Consider the following 26,261-nt stretch of genomic DNA (forward strand, 5'->3'; position numbering starts at 1 on the left):
GAGAGGCAGGCCCCAACTGTCAGTCTCTCTTGGCCCTCAGGATAACCTCTTGGGAAATATGAGAACTAGATGAAATAATTCAAACAATAGATAATTCATCAATATTATATCTGGCTTTGACATAAATGGTTTTTTGAACAATAAATTTTTCTATCTTTAGAATCAATGTATTTAACATACCATCAGTGCTAATAAATGTGCATCTTCAAATTGATGGAATATGGCATTTAAAGTTTGTAAACCCTTATCACCTAAAAGTAAAGAGAAATGTCTAGACATTTGTAAAGTGGCAATAAGTACGAGCTAACATTTTTTGAGCATTTACCATACACTATGACCTGTTTTGGGTGCTTTACATTTAATCCTCATACGTACGCTATCTCCATTTTGCAGATGAGAAAAGATACAGAGATGAAATGACTCCCTCAAGATCACAGAGATCCGGGCTAAGAAGGCTGCTTCAGGTTAAAAATTGTCTCCAAGGAAGCTCATGCACATAACCCACAGAAAGTCTGTTTAAATGCTAAGGGCCATAAAGTTGAGTCTGACTTTTTTTTTGAGACAGAGTCTCTCTCTCTTTTCCAGGCTGAAGTGAAGTGGCATGATCTCGACTCACTGCAACCTCTGCCTCCCGGGTTCAAGTGCTTCTTGTGCCTCAGCCTCCCAAGCAGCTAGGACTACAGGCACAAGCCATCATGCCCAGCTAATGTTTTGTATTTTCAGCAGAAACAGGGTTTCCCCATGTTGCCAAAGCTGGTCTTGAACTCCTGAGTTTAGGCAATCCACCCTCCTTGGCCTCCCAGAGTAAGCTAGGATTACAGGAGTGAGCCACTGTGCCCGGTTTTTTGTTTTGTTTTGTTTTGAGATGGAGTCCCGCTCTGTTTCCCAGGCTGGAGTGCGGTGGCATGATCTCTGCTTACTGCAACCTCCGCCTCCCAGGTTCAAACGATTCTCCTGCCTCAACCTCCTGAGTAGCTGGGACTACAGGCACTGGCCACCAAGCCTGGCTAATTTTTTTGTATTTTTAGTAGAGACAGGTTTTCACTGTATTAGCCAGGATAGTCCTGATCTCCTGACCTCATGATCCACCTGCCTTGGCCTCCCAAAGTGCTGGAATTACAGGCATGAGCCACCGTGCCCAGAATTTTTTTTTTTTTTTTTTTTTTAGAGATGAGGGATCACTCTGCCCAGCTAATTTTTTTTGTATTTTTAGTAGAGACAGAGTCTGGCCATGTTAGCCAGGGTGGTCTCGAACTCCTGACCTCAAATGATCTGCCTGCCTCAGCCTCCCGAAATGTTGGGATTACAGATGTGAGCCTCCGCACCCTGCCCAAACTTTTAACTGGAAAAGAGAAAAAAGACAAATAATAGAAATAACTTGGGAAAAGTATATTCTCTTTAAAGTATTACTTTTTGGTCAGCTTGCAATGCCCTTTACTTCTTTCTTCCTGTTACATGCCTAGCTCAATAAGTAAGTTAGGCCCCCTGCTTTGGAAAACTCCATGTTCACCTACTCTCATGCTCCAGAGAGCCAAGTAAACAGATAAAAGGATCAAGCGGGAAGCAGACCTCTCAGGAGCTGGAGGCCTGTAAGCCCAACAATGCTTTAGGCTAAACAGACTAAACTTTATGCTAAACCGTGTGAAAATGGACAAGTGAGATTTCCTGAAAACAAAATCCACAGCTTTCATCAGATTCTATAAGGGGTTCACAACCATTCTTAGAATGGTCCCCTCTTGGACTTCCAATCCCTAGAGGATGGGACTAGATTAATCTAGACTAACACTAGGTCATCTAAAACTATAATTGTATTTTCTCTAAACAAGTTTTTAAACAGCTATCTAGTTTAGTCCACATCACATACAATTCACCTCATTTAAAATGTTGTTAGTGATTTTAATCTCATTTCAAAATGTTGTTAGTGAACTATGTTTCAACTTTCTCATTTATATTCATATCCACAGAACACCTGAATAAAAGTAACACATATCAGACCTTCAATTGTTGAACTTAATTCCCCAGTTTATCTGGTGTAATTTGTAAAGTTTCTATGAACTTTCCTGAATTGAGACATACTTGCACTTCCTAGTTTTTTGGGGGTTTTCCCCCCTGAAATTGCAGGTACTGTAAAAGCAACATGTGGGCAGCACCCCCTCTTTTTTTTTTTTTGAGACAGAGTCTCGCTCTGTCACCCAGGCTGGAGTGCAGTGGCGTGATCTCAGCTCACTGCAAGCTCCGCCTCTCGGGTGCATGCCATTCTCCTGCCTCAGCCTTCCGAGTAGCTGGGACTACAGGCACCCGCCACCACGCCTAATTTTTTGTATTTTTAGTAGAGATGGGGTTTCACCATGTTAGCCAGGATGGTCTCGATCTCCTGACCTCGTGATCCGCCCACCTCGGCCTCCCAAAGTGCTAGGATTACAGGCGTGAGCCACTGCGCCCGGCCACCCTCTTTTTTTTTTTTTAAACAAAATATTTCATAAGTATTCCTTCCTGTTTTAATTTTTCCATTTCCCCAACTTTAATTAATTATACTTACAACCATATTTTGGTTTATCTTCTACCAGGATTTCTTCCATGCATACAATAAAATGTACAAACACTCAAATACACAAAATTTTCCTTTTTTTTTTCCCCCCAGATGGAGTCTTGTTCTGTTGTCCAGGCTGGAGTGCAGTGGCATGATCTCAGCTCACTGCAGCCTCTGCCTCCCGGGTTCAAGCAATTCTCCTGCCTCAGCCTCCCAAGTAGCTGGGACTACAGGCGTGCACCACCACACCCAGCTAATTTTTGTATTTTTTAGTACAGACAGGGTTTCGACATGTTGGCCAGGCTGGAACTCCTGACCTCAAGTGATGGGCTCACCTTGGCCTCCCAAAGTACTGGGATTACAGGCATGAGCCACCATGTCTGGCCTCAAATACACAGAATTTTCAAATTCAATATTATACTAAGTATAATACTGCACAACCTACTTTTTTGCACCTAACAATGATAAACATTTTCTCGTAAGCAGCCATTATTAAAGGATCAGAGCCACAAATGGCCTAAAGCTTGACTCTGCCAATAGCATCCTTGCATATTCACAACCAATAAATAGAACTACCTCCCTAATCTAGCTCACCTCCCATTTAGTTATATGATCTTTCCATGAGTATATAAGCACCTAAACCAGAGGTCGTCTCACCTGAGAGACACCCTATTTTAGAGGCACTCAGATGAGGCAAACAGAGCATGCAAAAAACATTTTTAAAAATCTCTTTTTGGCCAGGCATGATGGCTCATGCCTGTAATCCCAGCACTTTGGGAGGCCAAGGCAGGAACATCTCTAGCACCCAGGAGTTTGAGACCAGCCTCGGCAACATAGCAAGACCCTATCTCTACAAAAAAAAAAAAAAAAAAAATCAGACAGGCATGGCAGTGCACGCCTGTAGCCCTAATTTGGATGCTGAGGTAGGAAGATTGCTTGAGTCCAGAAATTTGAGGCTGCAGTGAGCCATGATCGTGCCACTGCACTCCAGTCTGGCTGACAGAGCAAGACCTTGTTTCAAAAAATAAAATAATTTAAAAAATCTCTTTTCCTATTTCCTCCCCAAATGCCCACACACTGGGTGTAACTCTCAAATCCCCCGTATTTCCTCTCTGCTCCCCAAACAGCTTCCTACTGTGGTGAGAGCTGGGAGGTGGGAGGAGGAATCTAATTCTTTCTATAGTTCCTGTTTCTTTACCATGGCAGTACTGTCAACAATGGACAACAAATTGCTGGATGCAGCAGTAGCAATTTACATATGGTAGCTAAGCTAATGCACAGCTTTCTCTGGGCAGAATTACTAACGCTTCTACCTATCATTGCAGTTTGAACCCAATGTTCCAGGCACACCAGTGTTAAGTATTTGCCTGGTGGCTTCTACCTTCAAAGGCACAGGGAATGATACACAGAAGTAATACACAGAAGTGAGGGAGGTGGAGGGAGTGGGAGCTCTGAACCCACCGAGGGAGGGTGCTCGCTCCAAGGACTGTGACACCAGACAAAGTACCTAATTCAAACCCAAAGGCTCAGTCATTCAACCTTTCCATAATATTCATGATCACTTGCTCAAATCTGGCATGTTCTAAGACCACAGTTCCTTCTTAGTTTCACTGCCCTGCCATGAGGCCAAATCTGTCTTATCTAGTGAGTCACTACTGCTCCTCTTTCCAACTGCATTTTGATTTCAGCCCACTTGTGCAGCTCATCAGGGCTGCACCATATGTTAGTACCATGTAGGCAGAATGTGACTAATTTTTTTCTCAAGCCCTGTCAGAGCGACTTTTAAAATCACCTTATAATCTTGATGTCTCTTGCGGAGTCATTATAACACATAACCTTTGGAAAGGACTATAATTATTTTTCTGAGTGCTCAAAGGAGATTCTTCAGCATTTTCATTCCCATTTTTCAGATGAAGGAACTAAAGGGAAGATAAGGGATTAAGAGACCTGGGTTCCACAACCAACCACTGGGACTTGGACTTTCTTGAGTCACAGTGCTGTATTTGGTAAAATAAGGCAGCTTGTAAAATGCCTTTTATTGGGAAACTCAAAATATTACTTTGCCTCTCTTTATTATTTACTTATTTATTTTTTTTTAGATAGAGTCTTGCTCTGTCACCCAGGCTAGAGGGTAGTGGTGCAATCTTGGCTCCCTGCAACCTCTGCCTCCCGGGTTCAACATGGTGAAACCCTATCTCTACTAAAAATACAAAAATTAGCTGGGCATGGTGGCAGGCGCCTGTAATCCCAGCTACTTGGGAGGCTACGGCAGGAAGAATTGCTTGAACCCAGGAGGTGAACTGAAATCATGTCACTGCACTCCAGCCTGGGTGACAGAGCAAGACTCTGTCTCAAAATAAAAAATAAAAATAAAAAGAGAGAGAGAAAAGGACTGAATGGCCCATGGACCACAAATGTTTTTTGAATTGGTCAAGATCATAATAAGTGAGTGAAAGTAATGCTCTAATACACTGAAAGTAAAATAGAGATGACTTGCAGATTTAGCTAGTATCACCAAATTCCCCCGAATTTAGTTTAAAAGGAAGGCGAGCAGCTGCTTCCACCTCCTCTAGGCAACCTGCCTCTTCTCCAACAATAATAGCAATAATGGTTGCTACAGCTGATAATTAAGCTCATCTCAAGAGGGTTTCTTAAATCTTCCGGGTATTGCAGATCCTATGTTTATTCTAGCAACTCTTTAGGGTAATTGCTTGACTGACATTGCAATTATTAGGCCTCCCCATCTCCATTAATAATATTCTCTTTTTTTTTTTTTGTTTGAGACAGAGTCTCGCTCTGTCGCCTAGGCTGGAGTGCAGTGGCATGATCTTGGCTCACTGCAATCTCTGCCTCCCAGTTGTAAGCAATTTTCCTGCCTCAGCCTCCCCAGTAGCTGGGACTACAGGCCCAAGCCACCAAGCCTGGCTAATTTTTATATTTTTTTAGTAGAGACAAGGTTTCATCATGTTGGCCAGGCTGGTTTTGAACTCCTGACCTCAGGTGATCCACTTGCCTCAGTGTCCCCAAGTGCTGGGATTACAGACATGAGCCACCACGCCCAGCTCACTAGTATTTTTCAATGGATAATATCACTTGCAAAATATAAAAAGGGATAGTATCTCATCAATATTGAAAACTGAGCTGAGCACAGTGGCTCACACTTATAATCTCAGCACTTTGGGAGGACTGCTTGAGCCCACAAGTTCCAGACCAGCCCAGGCAATATAGTGAGACTTATCTCTACAAAAAAATTCAAAAATTAGCTGGGTGTGGTGGCACGTGCCTGTAGTCCCAGTTACTTGGGAAGCTGAGGCGGGAGAATCACTTGAGCCCAGGAGGTCGGGCTGCAGTGAACTGTGATCATGCCACTGCACTCCAGCCTGGACAACTGAGAGAGAGCCTGTCTAAAAAAACAAACAGAGAAAAAAAAAAAAAAAAAAAGACATGCCCTTTGAATTCAGCAATCCCAGTTCTAGAAATATAGTTTACAAATAATCTTGTATCTGATGTATACAAAGTATGCAAAGGGGCATTCATAAGAACATTGTTTACATCAGCAAAACCTGAAAACATATGCCCATTAATTGAAGGCTATTAAATACAGTATAACCATACAACAGAACACTATGTAGCTATTAAAGAAAATAAGGCAGCTAACTGATCAAGACGTATTCATATAATAAGAAAGGAATTACACATGGCTTGTATATGAACAGAGTATCTCTGGATGGATAAAGAAATAACTGCTAACAGTAGTTGTAGAGGTGGAACAGTGGTTGAATTGTTTACATGTGAACACGTTACCTATTCTACAGAAATTTTTTTTTTTTTGAGACGAAGTTATGCTCTTGTTGCCCAGGCTAGAGTACAATGGCGCAATATTGGCTCACTGCAACCTCCGCCTCCCGGGTTCAAGCAATTCTACTGCCTCAGCCTCCCGAGCAGCTGGGATTACAGGCACCTGCCACCAAACCCAGCTACTTTTTTGTATTTTTAGTAGAGATGGGGTTTCACCATGTTGGCCAAGCTGGTCTCGAACTCCTGACCTTAGGTGATCGACCTGAAGTGCTAGGATTACAGGCACGAGCCACTGTGCCCGGCCTACTGAAAATTTTTTTAAAGAAAACTTGAGCTTTTGGAGCATGGCAACCTAGCCTGCAGACACCGTATCCCCTTGTCCACTTCCCCCTGCAACCCATAAGTCCATTCCTACCACTTAAAAAAAGGAAAACTCGTGGAACTATAAAGCACAAAGTAAAGAAAAACCTCAACTCATACTCTTTTCCAAAACAGCATTTTGGTTTTGTATTTTTTTCCTGCTTTGCCTGAAACTTCTGTGTGGAAACTGCCATTGTCCAGGTGATCCAGCAGTATATCATAATTACATCACACCATTTTAAATGACCCCAGCAACTCAAATAACGTTCATGCAGCTGGGACCTCATCATGTATGGCCTATTTACAAAGTCTGAAGCTATTTCAATCACTCAGCTGTATAGCTATACATTTTCTTCAATCAACCTTTCCTGCCAAGGCAAAGTGCAACATTAGCTGGATTCCAGTAAAGAAGGCAAGGGACAGGGTGAGATAATATGTCAAAACAAGTTCTATAAATACAGCTTTTGGCTTGTATCTCAAAAAGGAATCAAAAGAGCTTCAAGTTTAAACAGAAAAACCCTACAGTCCCTGCAGTATCTTACTTGAAGGCTCTAGAGAACAGAAGACACCAGGGAACTGGAATCTTATTTCTCACACTGTAATATCTTGTCTCTCTCTCCCTTATCTCAGGGGCAGGTTTAGATGCAATTGCAAGCTTTATCATTCCAACTCTGCATCTCCCCTGCCTCTTTTCTTATCTTACCACCTCTACCCTACCAAACACATCAATTTCCTTCCTCTCTGTGAGGCTGCTCCACCTCTTAGGCAGACAGGCCCAATACACACAACATACAACAGTCTTTCCTTAGCACTAGCCACCTAACTTCTATCATCTCCAAAATCCTTGACCAAGCAGCCAAGAACCCTGCCTTTACCATCTGCCCCAACCTCACCATCAAACACACGGGCACTCATGCGGGATGCTTCCATATGGTCTTGTTTCAGGAGCTTTGCCCTGTTCTGTTGAAAAGCAGGAAACTTTATTTTCTTTCTGTTCTTAAATTCTTAATTCTATAAAACTAGAGAAACCAGAAACTACTTCTGTAGAGACACTTCCTGAGACAGTTAGGTTATAGGCCAGAAAATGCAAATTTTGTACCTCTGCTTCAGCCAATCAGGGAACATGTTCAGCAAAGCTTGATTCACCCTAAAGGACGCACAGCCCTAAGACAAATTCTATTCTATTCTATTATCACTTTTTAAAAAAAGTTACTTTGGCTGGCCTGTAATCCCAGCATTTTGGGAGGCCGAGGCAGGTGGATCACTTGAGGTCAGAGTTCGAGACCAGCCTGGCCAACGGGGTGAAACCCCATCTCTACTACAAATACAAACAAATTAGCCCGGCGTGGAGGCGGGAACCTGTAATCCCAGTTACTTGGGAGGCTGGGGCAGAAGAATCACTTGAACAGGGAGGCACAGGTTGCAGTGAGCTGAGATCACACCACTGCACTCCAGCCTGTGTGACAGAGCGAGACTCCATCTCTAAATAAATAAATAAATAAATAAATAAATAAATAAATAAATAAATAAGGTACTTCAATTATCATGCTTTCATCACTCTGCAATTGTGCTCCTAAAGGTGCTTCTCGCCGGGCGTGGTGGCTCACGCCTATAATCCCAGCACTTGCACTTTGGGAGGCCAAGGCGGGTGGATCACAAGGTCAGGAGATCGAGACCATCCTGGCTAACACGGTGAAACCCCTACTGAAAATAAAAATTAGCTGGGCGTGGTCGTGGGCGCCTGTAGTCCCCGCTACTCGGGAGGCTGAGGCAGGAGAATGGCATGAACCCAGGAGGCGCAGCTTTTAGTGAGCTGAGATCGTGCCACTGCATTCCAGCCTGGGCGACGGAGCCAGACTCCGTCTCAAAAAAAAAAAAAAGGAGTGCTTCTCACATTTAAATACCCACTTAAATCATCTGTCACATCCTTCAAATCACTCCTAAAAAAACTCAACTGTTCCACAAAATTTAACTTGTCAGTGCTTTGATTTCATTTTTACAAAAACAAGCTCTTAAAAAAAAAAGCCAGGAGATCTATCAATCAAAAAAGCAACTACATTTTTAGAAAACATCTACTATATACCCAGAACTAAAGAGGATACCAAAAAAAAAGGCACAATCCCTGTCCTTAAGGAGTTAATGGTCTTGTTCAGAAAATACGACTTGCACTAGAAACAAGAAACATGGGAGAGCATCTATCTAAGGGAAAATGTTACCATAAATGTGAAAGACTTAAAAAATCTCAGGAGAGCTGATTCTTATTTCCCTGTCTAAATCAAATTTTTGTGCTATTTCATCACACTGTCCATGATACAATACATTTTTTGCTACCCTCCACTGAATTACATGGCCTACTAATAATTCCTTCATCATCATTTCTTTTGAACAGACTTCTCTGTGTTTTCCTGTCACTCTCACACAGATTATAAGTTTATGGATATGGCAAAACTTGCTGGTTCTACCTTCCCATGCTCCCCTTGTAAGGGCATCTCCGGAAGATGTGTGGTGCAGGAACGAGGTAAAGAAGCAGGCCAGGCACTGTGGCTCATGCCTGTAATCCCAGCACTTTGGGAAGCCGAGGTGGGCAGATCACTTGAGCTCAGGAGTTCAAGACCAGCCTGGGCAACATGGCAAAACCCTACCTCTACCCAAAAAATACAAAAAAATTAACTGGGCATGGCGGCATGTGCCTGTGGTCCCAGCCACTCAGGAGGCTGAGGTGGGAGGATCACTTGACCCTGGGAGCAGAGGTTGTGGTGAGCCAAGATTGTGCCACTGCCCTCCAGCCTGGGTCAGTGAGAACCAATCTCTTCCTGCGCTCCCCCCCGACCCAAAAAAGGCTAAAATTAATTCTGCTTTCAATATCTTCAGTAAATAGTCTGGTACTAGTGGAGATAAACTAGTAATTTTAGAGATGTTTCACAAACTTGTTACTTGGCTTGCTGTTCTTTACCACCAATAAATGAACTAGAGGGCCGGGCGTGGTGGCTCACGCCTGTAATCCCAGCACTCTGGGAGGCCAAGATGGGCGGATCACGAAGTTAGGAGATCGAGTCCATCCTGGCTAATACAGTGAAACCCCATCTCTACTAAAAATACAAAAAAATTAGCCGGGCATAGTGGCGGGCGCCTGTAGTCCCAGCTACTCCGGAGGCTGAGGCAGGAGAATGGCGTGAACCTGGGAGGCGGAGTTTGCAGTGAGCCGACGTCGTGCCACTGCACTCCAGCCTGGGCGACTGAGAGAGACTCCGTCTCCAAAAATAAAAAATAAAATAAAAAATAAATGAACTAGTACAGTTGATGGTGATCTGCAAAACCAAAATCATATAGTTATTTTCATAAGGAAATTCTAAAATGAAAATGGGTTAGACTGATTCATAATTTAATAATCTCAAATAACAAAGTGTGCTAATAAAATAGACAAATATTTACTACAAACCCACAATGTACCCTATACCTAGACTCTAGAGTCATACCACTGCTTTCTAATCCCAGTTTTGCTGCTTACTAGCCAGGTAACTGGGGAAATTGTTTAACTTCTTCATAAATACCTCTGTTTCTTCATGCACAAAATGGTTACACAAACAGTATCTACCTTACAGGATATTTGTTAGAATTAAATTTATACATGTAAAGCATTTAGAATAGTGCCTGACACATAGAAAGTGCTCAATAAACATTTGCTACTATTATTATTCTGGGCACCAAGCTTGGTGTTTATGGTGGAAAAGAATGAGTCCCAAAAAATTTCAGCCTGTTACATGATGATTCTATCTCTTCAAAATAAAGTACCTGATCTTAAGATGTACTGTACAACGCTCAATGGTTATGTTACTCAAAGACAACAGGTTCATCTGTTTACTGAGCTAGAAACATAGTGTGTAGTTTCACTTTTTAAAATGCAACAGCTATGCTGATTTTTTTTTTTTTTTGACACGGGTTTTGCTCTTGTTGCCCAGGCTGGAGTGCAATGGCATGATCTCAGCTCATCACAACCTCCATCTCCCGGATTCGAGAGATTCTCCGGCCTCAGCCTCCCGAGTAGCTGGGATTACTGGCATGTGCCACCAAGCCTGGCTGATTTTTTTGTATTTTTAGTAGACACGGGGTTTCTCCATGTTGGTCAGGCTGGTCTTGAACTCCCGACCTCAGGTGATCTGCCTGCCTCGGCCTCCCAAAGTGCTAGGATTACAGGTGTGAGCCACCTTGCCCAGCTGAAATTTTTTTTATCATTAACACTTGAAGTAGGCCGGGCATGGTGGCTCAAGCCTGTAACCCCAGCACTTTGGGAGGCCAAGGCAGGTGGATCACCCGAGATCAGGAGTTGGAGACCAGCCTGGCCAACATGGTGAAACCCCATCTCTACTAAAAATACAAAAATTAGCTGGGCATGGTGGTGGGCGTCTGAAGTCCCAGCTACTACTACGGAGGCTGAGTCAGGAGAACCCGGGAGGCAGAGGTTGCAGTGAGCTGAGATTGTGCCATTGCACTCCAGCCTTGGTGACAGAGCAAGATTCTGTCTAAAACAACAACAACAACAACAACAAAACGCCAGGCACAGTGGCTCAGGCCTGTAATCCCAGCACTTTGGGAGGCCAAGGTGGGTGGATCACCTGAGGTCAGGAGTTCGAGACCAGCCTGGCCAACGTGGTGAAACCCCATCTCTACTAAAATACAAAAATTAGCCAGGTGTGGTGGCATGCGCTTGTAGTCGCAGCTACTCAGAGGCTGAGGCAGGAGAATTGCTTGAACCTGGGAGGTGGAGGCTGCAGTGAGCTGAGTTCGTGCCACTGCACTCCAGCCTGGGCAACAGAGCGAGACTCCATCTCCAGAAAAAAAAAAAAAAAAGCAAACTTGAAGTAATAAAATAGGCTTCATTTATTTAAAAAAAAAATTGGGTACCTGAGATTATTCCAAAATATTTCCTAGCAGGAGGGGGAAGTGAATAGGTAAGAATTCTGGCAGCAATAGGCTGACAGATCTTGCACCTCCAACTGGGCCTGTTAGAGTCCAGTATATCTTCATTATGGATTACCAAACCACTTGTTCTGAGAACACTTATTTATGTATAAACATTTATTCATTCCTTCCATCAAACCAAAAAAAAAATTTCTTTCATGAAGCTTTCAAAATGGACACACTGGAAAAATATAAACTAATAAAATGAGACCAGGGAAGTTATAAATTTTAAAAAAGGCCAAGAACAAAAAGAAAGCTAGAATATAGGTGTGCTAATCAGAGTGTCACTTACTGAGGCTGAGCTGTAAAATCAAAGAGCTGCCACTGATTTTAATCTCCAATGACAGGCTCTACATAGGGTGCACAATGATTCATAGTATAAATGGGAAAACATTAGGACAGTAAAATGAGAAGGGCACTAAGAATAGCCAAGAAAGAGAAGATGAAGCAGATATAATGCCACACTCAAAAGAATTTGGAAAGTCAGTAAATATACAGGATCCAGGAGAGGCTAAGCACCAGGTCCTAGACCCTAAACAAATAAGCATCCAAAACCTACAATGCACAAGGTGCAGAAGAGATCCCTAAGTGATTCAGAGCCAGAATACATCAGTGTATAGTCACACAGAACTCTGCATCCATACCACACAGCCACAGAAGAAGCTGCCTCAATCAAGGTGTTTCTCCAGCATTTAATAACGTCCTTTCCTCTCCTCATTGACTACAGTTACAAATAGTATGGGCAGAGAACTGTCTCATCCCCACTCAGCTGACAAGTTCTATTCCCAACACTGCATGCTTATGACTCATGAGGGGATGGGGGAGGGGAGTGAAAGGAAACTGTAAAACAAAGCAACAAACTTGAATTTAGACTTACACTGACCAGGAGTAAGAATTCATCACTGTTTAATTAGAATATCTCATAACAAACCAAGAAAGTATCCTTTTAAAATACAGTAACAAACCCAGTATCTTCTGAAAATAACCTGAAATTTGTCTACATGTCATGTCTTCTGCTATTCCTTAAACAGACATGACACCAAAAGGCATTACAAGGCCTCTGTAAGGCCAAACTTTACAAAGCACTCAAACAGCGCAAACAGCATAGGTTGCTGTGGGGCCCAAAGCAACAGGGCATTCCCCACAGTTCCTTTCCTGGCAGACAGCGAAGTCAACACACTTAACCCCTACTGCACTCTTTCAAGATGTGCACTAAATCATTTCTTAAAGGGGTGGAGGTGCCTCATCTTTTTATACTCAAATTTTATGTCAAAAAATTTGAGTGCCAGGAAAGGAATTCAATACCACCCCAAGAGCTGATCTTTGTGACCTGTAACAAAACAAAGAGGAAAAAAAAAACACTACCACTTCAACAAGGTATGTTTCTAAGGGAACCCAAAGACCATTTCTGACATCACATTTCCCTGTTTGGTACCCTCTCGCCAAGACGGTATTTTGTTAAATACAAATCTTGTCTCCTCACCCCATCCCTAACAACCTGAAGCATTCTCTACAATTTACAATTGACAAACCTGAACACAGCAAAACAACAAAGACAAACGAGTCACCTCTTTCACTTGAAAACCTCAGTCCTCCACAGAGACGCACACAGACAGACAGATGGATGCACGTAAGAACACAAACTGTGTGCCCTGGCTGAGTCCTGAGCAGGTCTGAGCCGGTGCGGGTGCCAAAGGGTGGCCACACGGCCTAGCTAGTGGGCTGCTCCTGCTGTTGCTGTACAAATATAGCAAGCTAAAAAGTGGAACAGCAGCTTCAGCAGAACAGATTCTGCTCCGTGCTCAGAGAGGGAGGAGCAGGGAACTGAACAGCTTTACCCATACATGGTTGCTGAAAGGGGGCCATTAGTGAAAGCCCAATTATCTCACACACATGCATTCTGTTCACATGCTCCAGACAAAAAACAGAAACACACAGGCTGGTACTTGAAATAAGGTTTGAGATATTCTATTTCAGTCAAGGAACTTCCAAATAATTTCAGTCACTGACACCAAGAATCCCTCAGCCACGGGAAATGGAAAAGACATTTGAAAACCTTTACTAGGTCAGATTCTTCCCAGATCAGCAGTAGTGGTGAGGCTCAATTTATCATTTAAATCCTAAAATTTAACATGCAAAAAAAGGTTATTCTCCATTCGAGTGAACAATGTTAACTTTCACTAGTTCCTTGCTGCTTTCAGAATGAAGGTCTCATTCCAACTGTGTATGTTTTGAGCTCTTTTTTATTTTATGGTTGATACAAGTTAAAATAAACTCTAATATAATTTTTAAAATCTATGTCTGAGGATGATGGCTTATATAACCAGAAGCCAAATATTTGTGTTCCAAAAATTATTTTACTTAGAACAATTCATTTAGATTCACTTCAATGTGAAGTATGTGAAAAGCTTAATTGCTGACCAGAGTGAATTTTCCAACAATAAGAAATGCATGGCTGATTGGCTCAAATGATTCTATTCTTCAGCCCTTACTGAAGTACTTAGTGCATACCACCTATGTAATTTTATTCCCCCCTTATAGAGATGGGGTTTCACCATGCTGCCCAGGCGGGTCTCAAACTCCTAGGTACAAGTGATCCACTCACTTCGGCTTGCCAAAGGGCTGGGATTACTGGCATGAGCCACCAAGCCCAGCCTGGTTATGTATTTATTCGGTATCATAGGGGCTACAGCACAAATCAAAACCATAGTATCAGTGACCTCCAATCTAATTCCTAGATGAGATTAACATGAGATATTAATAATAAAGGCAGACAGTACATGACTACTGCACTAAAGCGTGGGGTACAAACTATAAATGCTATACACATTAAGAGAAGAGAGGCTGGCCTTGATAGCTCACATGTATAATCTCAGCACTTTGGTAGGCCAAGGTGGGTGGACCACTTGAGCCCAGGAGTTTGAGACCAGCCTGGGCAATGTGGCGAGAACCCGTCTCTATCCACAAACAAACAAAAAAACAAACAAAAAAAAAAAAGGAAGAAAGAAAAGAGAGAAGAGAGACTGAGAACAGACAGACCTAGACTTTCTTGCTTATCCCACCTACCAGAACTCTCATTAAGGGCACCTGCGCACCAGGAGTGGTAGCTCACGTCTGTAATCCCAGCACTTTGGGAGGCCAAGGTGGGCAGATCACCTCAGGTCCGGAGTTCGAGACCAGCCTGACCAACAGGGAGAAACCCCGTCTTTACTAAAAATACAAAATTAGCCAGGTGTGGTGGTGCATGCCAGGTGTGGGGGTGGCTGAGGCAGGAGAATCGCTTGAACCTGGGAAGCGGAGGTTGCCGTGAGCCAAGATTGTGCCATTGCACTCCAGCTTAGGTAACAAGAGCAAAACTCTGTCTCAAGGAAGAAAAAAAGAAGGCACCTGCGATATCTTAAATGTGAAGAATACAGAATTTGAACAAGATGATTTCTAAGATCCCTCCATTTCTGAAACTCTGAGTGTGGTTTCAACCTGAAATGTTTCATAGTATGAGATTAATACCACACTGCTTATGGAAGCAAAATTATAGTTTTTGCCTACTTTAGAGAAAACATATTCTAAACTAAGATAAAAATAAATTCAGACCATAACTCAGCATCCACTGTAACATTTCTCATGTAACACTTTCAGGAAAATGTTCTTCCATCTGAGACATTTCTGCCTAGCCTGTTGAATAAATTTTAAACCACTATTAAGAAAAAACAAAAACAAAAACCCTGTCACAGGGAAATAGAATGGTGGAACTAGAAATGTTTATGCTGATATAACTATGAGATCCTTGATTATAAAACACTGCTAAGTTAACCAGTCATCAAAAGGAGTTCCAGGCCGGGCAGTGGTGGCTCGTGCCTGCAATCCCACGATGGATCACCTGAGGTCAGGAGTTCAAGACCAGCCTGGCCAACAAGGTGAAACCCTGTCTCTATTAAAAATACAAAAATTAGCTGGGCGTGGGGGCGCGTGCCTGTAATCCCAGCTACTCAGGAGGCTGAGGCAGGAGAATCACTTGAACCCAGGAGGCAGAGGTTGCAGTCAGCCGAGATTGTGCCACTGCACTCCAGCCTGGGCGACAAGAGCAAAACTCCGTCTAAAAAAAAAAAAAAGCTTCAAAGAAAAAAGCACTGCCTAGCTCCTATCCATTACTGAGTACACAGCAGGATTCCAGCAGTAGAGGCACATTCATGTCCCATAAAACAGACATGCAAGTATTCAACATGTTATTAAAAGCCTCTTAACACTAAACATAAGGAGACCTCATCTCTACAGAAAGAAGTAAAAAATTAGCCGGACATGGTGGCACGTGCCTGTAGTCCCAACTACTCAGGGGGCTGAGGTGGGAAGATTCCTTGAGCCCAGGAGGTCAAGACTGCAGTTAGCCGTGATCGTGCCACCGCACTCCGGCCTGGGTGACAAAGTGAGACACTGCCTCAAAAAACAAAAAAAATTAAGTAAAAGCCTCTTAAGTAAAAGCCTCTTAACTGGGCCACATGCAGTGTTTCACCCCTGTAATCCCAGCACTTTGAGAGGTCAAGGGAGAGGATCACTTGAGATCAGGAGTTCAAGTACACCCTGGGCAACACAGACCCTGTCTCTACAAAACTTAAAAAAAAAATTAAGCCTCTTCATTGTATATACTGGCTTATTCATTGTATATACTGACTTCATTGTATACACTGTATTTAATTTTTTAAGAATCTGAGCAGTCCTATTACAGCAACTTTGACTTCCCAAAGAGCAGTTTACTGTGAATTAATATGCTTTTTTCGTGTTTAAGATCACAGCTTTAATTACCTGTATGTTCTCTACTAAAAATACTTGTGTGAAGGCAACTAAGTAAAAATAACACAAAGCAGGCCAGGTGTGGTGGCTCACGCCTGTAACCTCAGCACTTTGGGAGGCCGAGGCAGGTGGATCACCTGAGGTGAGGAGTTCAAGACCAGCCTGGCCAACATGGTGAAACCCCGTCTCTACTAAAAATACAAAAATTAGCTGGGCGTGGTGGTGCATGCCTGTAATCCCAGCTACTCCGGAGGCTGAGACAGGAGAATGGGTTGAACCCGAGAGGCGGAGGTTGCAGTGAGCCAGGATCACACCATTGCACTCTGGCCTGGGTGACAAGAGTGAAAATCTGTCCCCCATCCCCCCACCCCTCCCAAAAACAAACACACAGCAATACACCACAGTTGTGTACATGAAAAGGAATTGCTCCAAGTATAACCTCAAAATCAAAATGACTATAAACACGTAAAGTATGGCCTTTGATATGTCAGTTCTCCTCCCTTATTTCCTCAAGAGAAATACGGGATTGGACTAGATCGGGGTCCATATGTATGGCCCATTGACATTTCATAAATTCAAAAAACTTCCTTATACTATGTGTAAAACTCTACCTCTGTATGCATTTATAAGGAAATGGATTCACAACTTTTACCAGATTTTCAGTTTAAGGACTCAAGACAACAATATACAGTTATTCCATCTCACATTTTTTTAAAAAGTTAAAGTTTGGCCAGGCACAGTGGCTCACATCTGTAATACAAGCACTTTGGGAGGCCGAGGTGGGAGGACTGTTCATTGAGGCCAGGAGTTTGAGGCTGCAGTGAGCTATGATTGTGCCACTGCACTCCAGCATGGAAAAAAGCAAGATCCTGTCTCTTAAAAAAATAAAAATAAAAATTGGGAGGTCGAGGCAGAGGTATCACTTGAGGCCAAGAGTTTGAGACCTGCCTGAGCAATACAGTGAGACCCCATCTCCACAAAAAAACAAAAGCCACAAAAATTAGCCAGGCATGATGGCACCTGCCTGTGGTCCCAGCTACTCAGGAGGCTGAGGCAGGAGGATCATTTTGATTCCAGGAGTTCAAGGCTGCAGTGAGCTATGATCACGCCACTGCACTCCAGCCAGGCCAACACAGTGAGACCCTGCCTCAAAAAAAAAAAGAAAGGTAAAGCTTCCAGCTTTTACTTTTATATCTGTCTCCCAGGCTAGAGTCCAGTGGCAGGATCACAGCTCACTGCAGCCTCAACCTCCTGGGCTGGAGTGATCCTCTCACTTCAGCCTCCCAAGTATCTGGAACTGAGTACAGATGTGTGCCACCTCACCCAGTTTATTTTACTTTTTTTTTTTTTTTTTTGAGACAGAGTCTTGCTCTGTAGCTCAGGCTGGAGCACAGTGGCGCAATCTCAGCTCACTGCAACCTCTGCCTCTCAGGTTCAAGTAATTATCCCACCTCAGCCTCCCGGGTAGCTGGCACTATAGCTCCTGGCTCCAGTTTCTACTTCTAATCCTACCTTGGAGCAAAGAAAGTAGGAGACGAGGCCGGGGACAGTGGCTCCCAGCACTTTGGGAGGCTGAGGCAGGTGGATCACTGGAGGTCAGAAGTTCGAGACCAGCCCGGGTAACGTGGCGAAACCCAATCTCTACTAAAAATATAAAAATTAGTGGCCAGGCATGCTGGCTCACGCCTGTAATCCCAGCACGTTGCGAGGCCGAGGCGAGAAGATCACATGAGGCCAGGAGTTCGAGAGCAGCCTGGCCAACATGGCAAACCCTGTCTCTACTAAAAATACAAAAATAGTCCCAGCCACTTGGGAGGCTGAGGCAGGAGAATCATTTGAACCCAGGAAGTGGAGGTTGTAGTGAGCCGAGATCCTGTCACTGCACTCCAGCCTAGGCAACACAGCGAGACTCCGACTCGGGAAAAAAAAAATTAGCTGGGTGTGGTGGCAGGCACCTGTAATCTCAGCTACTGGGGAGGCTGAGGCAGGAGAACTGCTTAAACCTGGGAGGTGGAGGTTGCAGTGATCCAAGATCACGCCACTGCTCTCCAGCCTGAGCAACAGGGTAAGACTTAAAAAAAAAAGAGAGACAAATACTTGGGCAGGGGACAGGACACCAGAGTATGAAAGACTGGAATGAAGGGGACTGATAACAGGTAGGCAAACAAAGAAGCCACCCAACCTGTCAGCAGAAGTACTATATGAGAACAGCTATTGCCTTATGCCTCAGTTTGTAAAGAGTATATAAAAGAAAAAATTAGCCTTCATCTAAGATAATTTTAAAGTGTCTGTTACCGAACCATTTAAGCCTAAAATTTTTAGGTTCTCATGGCAACCTAAATCATCGCACTGCGCATATTGTATATAAAGTGCATATTTAGAGGCTTAACTAGTAAACTCAAAATGTGACATATGTGCAATGTGGGCGACAACATTATTCTGGGAACCTTAACTTTAAAATCTTCCACATTTTATTCTGCAGCCCCAAAGATGATATAATAGAGTCAACTATGCAGAAGATCCAAGTTCAAGGAAGAAGAGGTACAAAGAACATAAATAGAAGCAAAGACATGAAAGACAAGAAGAAAATTCAGGCTATCAGAAAAAAATTCTGAACATGGCTCTCTCCCACTGTGAATCAACCTGTAAAGGAAGGCTTAAAAAACAAGATTGCTACTGAGGACATATATCAAGATAGCGTTTGGGACATGCTTTAATGTGGGCCCAGTCAAAAGAGGACATAGTCACAGATCAGACAGTTTGGTATATGTGGCACTGACTCCACGGCAGTCTAGAGAGGATGATGTTTCTCTCTTTGGTAGCAGCTTATAGAATATAGCTGTTTAGAATTAAGAAGCGGTATCAGAGACAAAAGGATGGCTGTGAGACATGAAAACTGGGAGAGAGGACCAGACTTTAAGAAGAGGAAAAAGGCTGGGTACAGTGGCTCATACCTGTAATCCCAGTACTTTCGGAGGCCGAGGCAGGAAGATTGCTTGAGACCAGGAGTTTAAGACCAGCCTGGGCAACACAGGGGGACCCTGTCTCTACAAAAATGGAAAAAATTAGCCAGGCATGGTGGCATGTGCCTGTAGTGCCAGCTACTTGAGAGGTTGAGGCGGGAGGATTGCTTGAGCCCACGAGGTCAAGGCTACAGTGAGCCACAATCATGCCATTGCACTCCAAGCCTGGGCGACAAAGGAACACCCTGTCTTAAAACAAAAAGCCCGGCGTGGTAGCTCATGCCTGTAATCCCAACACTTTGGGAGGCCGAGGCGGATGGATTCCCTGAGGTCAGGAGTTTGAGACCAGCCTGGCCAATTTGGCGAAACCCCGTCTCTACTAAAAATACAAAAATTACCCAGGCATGGTGGTAGATGCCTGTAATCCCAGCTACTCGGGAAGCTGAGGCACAAGAATCACTTGAACCCGGGAGGTCGATGTTACAGTGAGCTGAGATCGCACCACTGCACTCCAGCTTGTCACAGCAAGACTCCGAATCAAAACAACAACAACAACAACAACAAAAAACAAAAAAAAACAAACAGGCCAGGCGCGGTGGCTCACGCCTGTCAACCCAGCGCTTTGGGAGGCCAAGGTGGGCAGATCACACGGTTACAAGATAGAGACCATCCTGGCTAACATGGTGAAACCCCATCTCTACTAAAAATACAAAGCATTAGCCGGGCGTGGTGGCACTCGCCTATAGTCTCAGCTACTCTGGGGGCTGAGGTAGGAGAATTGCTTGAATCTGGGAGGCAGAGGTTGCAGTGAGCCAAGATCACACCACTACACTCCAGCCTGGGCAACAGAGCGAGACTCCATCTCAAACAAACAAACAAACAAACAGTAAGACCCGAAATATTATTTTTGAACCCCAAGCTCACTTTTGTATAGATATACCTACTCTAGAAACAATGACAAAAGCATTCGCAAAATGCACCACAAAAACACAAAACAATTTGCCTACTTGGCTTCTGATTTTGCCTTAGAAGTATTTTTGAGGCCTGTTTTGATATTCTTTAGCTCAAAATCATCTCCTCTCGTTAAGCACATTGTAAAGTACTTTAAACTCAATATAGCATTTATCATCATCTCTTCCCTCCCACTTGTTAAAGAACTAGCTTGTTCCAAATATGGCATTATCTTTTCCAAGTTCTAGGGTTTAGGCATGACATAATTCCTTTAAAGAATTATTTTTCTTGTCATGACTGACAAGCATGACTTAAATGGAGATAAACAGGCTACTGAAAAACATTTGGGAATTTTTCTGATTACAACTGCTCTTATTTTTATTTTTTTTTTTTTGAGACAGAGTCTCGCTCTGTCGCCCAGGCTGGAGTGCAGTGGCGCAATCTCAACTCACTGCAACCTTCGCCTCCCAGGTTCAAGCGATTCTCCTGCCTCAGCTGCCTGAGTAGCTGGGACTACAGGTACCCACCACCAGGCCTAAATAATTTTTGTATTGTTAGTAGAGACGGGTTTCACCATGTTGGCCAGGCTGGTGTCAAACTCCTGACCTCAGGTGATCCACCTCGGCCTCCCAAAGTGCTGGGATTACAGGCGTGAGCCACCATGCCCAGTGTACAATTGCTCTTTTATGATGAGAGAAAAACAATGTATAGCTTTAAAATGGGGAATCCACATAAAACTATCTTCCCTTTGAACTCCAGTACAGGGGCTTTTGCCAATTAAACAAGTCACCTCCACCTGAGGAAAGAGGCAGACGCTGCCTGCCCAGGATGCTGTAGAAGGGATTCCTTCCATGGATAGAAAGTTTCTCTGCATAACTTTTGTAAAGGTCCTTTGCTAACCTCAGAAACTGATTTCACTATGAAAAGTAGAGGAAAGGTGAATCCAATGTGTGGGTAGAAACAACAGAACAGTGCTGGGAAAATTCCTGCTTCTATCTCTATGTGAATTTAAGTAAGGCATTCCATGTCCCTCATTTTCAAAATGATAGGATTAAAGAAGAAAAAAATCTCTGAAGTTTCTAGCATTTTCAGCCTATAGCTTACTTTTTCTCCCTCCTATGCCAGCCTGGGCCACCCACCACCTTCCCACTGCTGCAGCACCTTACCATAATTAGGCAGCTTTTTAAAGCTTCTAATTAACGGAACACAGAAATTAAAACCTTTAAACTTTCTTTTCTATTTCTGGCTCACTGCAAATGTGCAACAGCATTTTATTAAGGAGTTGTTAATGCCACACAGTTCTTGCTATACTGGCTTTTCTCTGAACCCCAGTGACAGTTACACAGTGACAAGTTGTAAGCAAAGAGGTTGTTACCATGGGAACCCACTAGGATTCCTGGGGGTGGATCCAGAAGGCTTTTTTTTTTCTATCACAGTATTTTTTTTTTTTGATGTTCTGGATCTGGCAATTCAGAAAGCTGATCTTATTATTTCAGCAAGCTACCTTCAAGAAATAGTACCATACAGTATACATTTCTGAAGAAATATTAGACCAAGCGCAGTGACTCACGCCTGTAATACCAGCAATTTGGGAAGCTGAGGCGGGGGGATCACTTGAGGTCAGGAATTCAAGACTAGCCTGGCCAACATGGTGAAACCCCATTTCTACTAAAAATACAAAAATTGGCCGGGTATAGTGGCTCATGCCTATAATCCCAGCACTTTGGGAGGCCAAGGCAGGCAGATTGCCTGAGCTCAGGAGTTCACGACCAGCCTGGGCAACATGGTGAAACCCCCTCTCTACTAAAATACAAAAAATTAGCCAGGCATGGCAGTGTATGCCTGTAGTCCCAGCTACTCAGGAGGCTGAGGCAGGAGAACTGCTTAAACTCCGGAAGGCGGAAGTGGCAGTGAGCTGAGATCGCACCACCGCACTCCAGCCTGGGCTACAGAGCGAGACTCCATTTCAAAAAATAAATAAATACATACATACATACATACATAAATTAGCTGAGCATGGTGGCGGGCACTTGCAATCCCAGCTACTTGGGAGGCTAAGGCAGAAGCATCACTTGAACCTAAGAGGCAGGGGTTACAGTGAGCTGAGATTGCTCAAGTGCACTCCAGCCTGGGCAATAGAGCGAGACTCTCCCCCAAAAAAAAAAAAAAAAAAAAAAGGAATATTTATAACTATTTTAGTGACACTCTGTTGCACAATAGTTAAATATATTCAACTCTTAGTTTTTCCCCTCCCTCTTCATAAAAGCAGCTACATCAATATAAACTCAACTGAAGTTTCTATGACCTATGTATGCTGCTATTTCTTTCCAGACCACAACATAAGTTATATTTAGCATTTTTTCTTTCCTTTTTTTTTTTTTTTTTTTTTTGGACATAGAGTTTCACTCTTGTTGCCCAGGCTGAAGTACAGTGACACAATCTCTGCTCACTGCAACCTCCGCCTCCTTAGTTCAAACTACTCTCCTGCCTCAGCCTCCGAAGTAGCTGAGATTACAGGCGCCTGCCACCATGCCCGGCTAATATTTTGTATTTCTAGTAGAGATGGGGTTTCACCACATTGGCCAGGCTGGTCTCGAACTCCTGACCTCAGGTGATCCACCCGCCTTGGCCTCCCAAAGTGCTGGGATTACAGGCATGAGCCACGGCGCCTGGCCATATTTAGTATTTTTTCTATCAAGATTTCAATGTTTTCCAAAGTTCAAGAAATCTCAGCTTCTCTACACAATTATGTTAGAAATATATCAGACACAAAATTATAAAAATAAAGCTGGCCGGGCGCCATGGCTCATGCCTGTAATCCCAGCACTCTGGGAGGCCAAGGCAGACAGATCACAAGGTAAGGAGACCGAGACCATCCTGGCTAACATGGTGAAACCCTGTCTCTACTAAAAACATACAAAAAATTAGCCGGGCGTGGTGGTGGGCAACTGTAGTCCCAGCTACTCGGGAGGCTGAGGCAGGAGAATGGTGTGAACCCAGGAGGTGGAGCTTGCAGTATGCAGAGATCGCACCACTGCACTCCAGCCTAGGCGACAGAGCGAGACTCCATCTCAAAAATAAATAAAATAAAATAAAATAAGCCAAGAGAAGTATAAGTTCAATCTCCAAGTATGCCTCCAAAACTGTAGTGTGTAGATAAATGTGATGTTAAATTACGTTTAGGGAGATGAACTGCCACTCCCAGCTAAATGTGTGTTGTCACTCAGTTCCCTGGAGACCCATTCTGTTAGAAGATATCTTAAGAAAACAGATCATTTACAAGTCTGATCTGTGGATCTGTTTTTTTCAGAAGTGGAACAGTCAGAATTAGAAAAAAAAAAATTTTTTTCCCTAAGTTGGAAGCTTTCTGGAAAAGGGTTAAGTCTTTCCATAGATCTAGCTTAGCCCCAGAGCAAACTTATACCAGACAAATGAACATTAACAAAAACAGCACTTGATTTCACAGTAATAATCTAGAACTTCAGCTACCCTACGCCTGATCCATAATAGTTTGAGCCAGAAAAGTACCTGGCACAAATTTCAAGAGTATCCCTCACACTAATAACTACTGAAACCTAAATATAAATTCCATTTAAATGTGTTGAAAACCAAACTCAGAACCAATTCATACAACAAATTCACAAACCAAAAGAAAAAAAAAATGGTTCTATGGAGATAAGATATACCATTAACTACCGTAGGCAATAGTTATTAAGATACTCCACAAACATATTATGTCTTGGGCTGGGCGAGATGGCTCACACCTGTAATCCCAGCACTTTGGGAGGCCGAGGCAGGCGGATCAGTTGAGTTCAGGAGTTCGAGACCAGCCTGACCAACATGGAGAAACTCCGTCTCTACTAAAAATAGAAAATTAGCCGGGCATGGTGGGGCATGCCTGTAATCCCAGCTACTCAGGAGGCTGAGGCAGGAGAATCGCTTGAACCCGGGGAGGTGGAGGTTGCAGTGAGCCAAGGTTGCACCACTGCACTCCAGCCTGGGCAACAAGAGCGAAACCCCATCTCAAAAAAAAAAAAAAAATAAATCATGTCTTGTTTTGCTATATTTACTCACCTAAGCTTTCCTGTAGCATGCCCACAAGTTTTTTTGTTTTTGTTTTTTTCTTGAGATAGGGTCTTGCTCTGTCGCCCAGGCTGAAGTGCAGTGGTGCAATCTCGGCTCACTGCAATCTCCACCTCCTGGGTTCAAGCGAGCCTCCTGCCTCAGCCTCCCAAGTAGCTGGGATTACAGGCGTGTGCCACCGTGCCCAGCTAATTTTTTCTGTTTTTAGTACAGACAGGGTTTCACTGTGTTAGCCAGGATGGTCTTGATCTCCTGACCTTGTGATCCGCCCGCCTCAGCCTCCCAAGGTGCTGGGATTATAGGCATGAGCCACTGCACCCAGCCCAAGAGTTTGTTTTTAAATAGTTTCTGGCCAGCATGGTGGCTCAAGCCTGCAATCCCAGCACTTTGGGAGGCTGAGGCAGGTGAATCACTTGAGGCCAAGAGTTTGAGACCAGCCTAGCCAACATGGCAAAATCTCATCTCTACTAAAAATAGAAAAATTAGCTGGGCATGGTGCCAACGGCCTGTAGTAGCTCTTCTGGAGACTGAGGCACGAGAATTACTTGAACCCGGGAGGCGGAGGTTGCAGTGAGCCAACATTGCACCACTGTACTCCATCGTGGGCGACAAGGCGAGATTGTCATAAATAAATAGATAGATAGATAGACAGACTGATAGATAGTTTCCCAATGCTATCTATAACCCAAATTAGCTCAGTAAAGAGGTTTGCAAAGCTTTTTAAAAAACTGCATTTGTAGGCCGGGTGTGGTGGCTCATGCCTGTAATCTCAGCACTTTGGGAGGCCAAGGTGAGCAGATTACCTGAGGTCAGGTGGAGTTGGAGGTCAGCCTAGCCAACATGGCGAAAACCCGTCACTACTAAAAAAAATACAAAAATTACCTGGGCGTGGTGGTGCACACCTGTAATCCCAGCTACTCAGAAGGCTGAGGCAGTTACTTGAACCTGGGAAGCGGGGGCTGCAGAGCTGAGAACACACCACTGCACTCCAGCCTGCGTGACAGAGTGAGACTCCATTTCAAAAAATAATAATAAAAAATAAAAATTGCACTTGTAAATGTATGCAGAGACTATTAAACAGAAATAGCACGCAATAAAAACAATGAATATATAATAAACATAATGTCTTTCCATAATTATTTCCCATCAGCTTGAAAGGGGAAGTAGGAAGGACAAGTCCACAGTATAGTTTTGGCACATGAGTTTAATATCAAACAGCCTAGAAACAAAAAGGAGAAAACAGGACATGACAGGAGGCAAACTCTTGGATGCTTTATTCATTTTTACTAGTGGTTTACTATTTCCTTGATTTTATTTGGAAAAGCATGTCTTGGCCCAGAAAGGCAAGAGTGCAGACTGCCAGCAATATCAGATTATCCTTTTCTTATTCTTTGGAGCTACTGAAAACTGAGCCAAAATCAGAGTTGTCTAGGAGCCTTCTGACTGTTCAGGCAATAAAAATTACGAAGTTTCAAGATCAGAGCTCCACAAGGTTTTTACCATACAAATTTTTTTTTTTTTTTTTTTTGGGACAGAGTCTCACTCTGTCGCCCAGGCTAGAGTGCAGTGGCGCCATCTTGGCTCACTGCAGCCTCCACCTCCTGGATTCAAGCAATTCTCCTGCCTCAGCCTCCTGAGTAGCTGAGACTATAGGCACACACCACCACATTCAACAAATTTCTGTTATTTTTAGTAGAGACGGGGTTTCACCATGTTGTCCAGGATGGTCTCGATCTCCTGACCTCGTGATCCACCCGACTCAGTCTCCCAATGTGCTGGGATTACAGGCGTGAGCCACCACACCAGGCCTACAGTACAAACCTTAACCATAA

General features: G+C 43.5%; 1 protein-coding gene across 103 annotated transcripts in view, besides 2 other annotated features; it reads right to left on the minus strand.

Annotated features, from left to right (window-relative positions):
• The window catches only part of CELF1 (CUGBP Elav-like family member 1), a 99,603-nt gene that overhangs the window by 45,372 nt on the left and 27,970 nt on the right, over positions 1 to 26,261 (minus strand). For 21 of the 103 annotated variants that reach the window (NM_001376442.1, NM_001376460.1, NM_001376433.1 and 18 more), the window contains exon 1: positions 13,216 to 13,396. The exons of 68 other annotated variants lie outside the window; for them this stretch is intronic. The gene's annotated coding sequence lies outside the window, so the exon portion shown is untranslated. Of the gene's footprint in view, positions 1 to 11,939; positions 12,524 to 13,215; positions 13,397 to 25,311; positions 25,423 to 26,261 lie in introns of those variants that run through there. 14 more of the 103 variants (NM_001376458.1, NM_001376448.1, NM_001376446.1 and 11 more) reach the window with 2 other exon arrangements.
• Positions 2,252 to 2,391: a silencer, noted in NCBI's record as "silent region_3330". NCBI's record gives its function as "represses an Ori minimal core promoter by ATAC-STARR-seq in GM12878 lymphoblastoid cells {active_cell/tissue: GM12878}" and the evidence as "EXISTENCE:reporter gene assay evidence [ECO:0000049][PMID:35858748]".
• Positions 13,530 to 13,589: a silencer, noted in NCBI's record as "silent region_3331". NCBI's record gives its function as "represses an Ori minimal core promoter by ATAC-STARR-seq in GM12878 lymphoblastoid cells {active_cell/tissue: GM12878}" and the evidence as "EXISTENCE:reporter gene assay evidence [ECO:0000049][PMID:35858748]".

Source organism: Homo sapiens, chromosome 11 (assembly GCF_000001405.40).
Source record: "Homo sapiens chromosome 11, GRCh38.p14 Primary Assembly".
In the NCBI taxonomy this organism is placed as follows: Eukaryota; Metazoa; Chordata; class Mammalia; order Primates; family Hominidae; genus Homo; species Homo sapiens.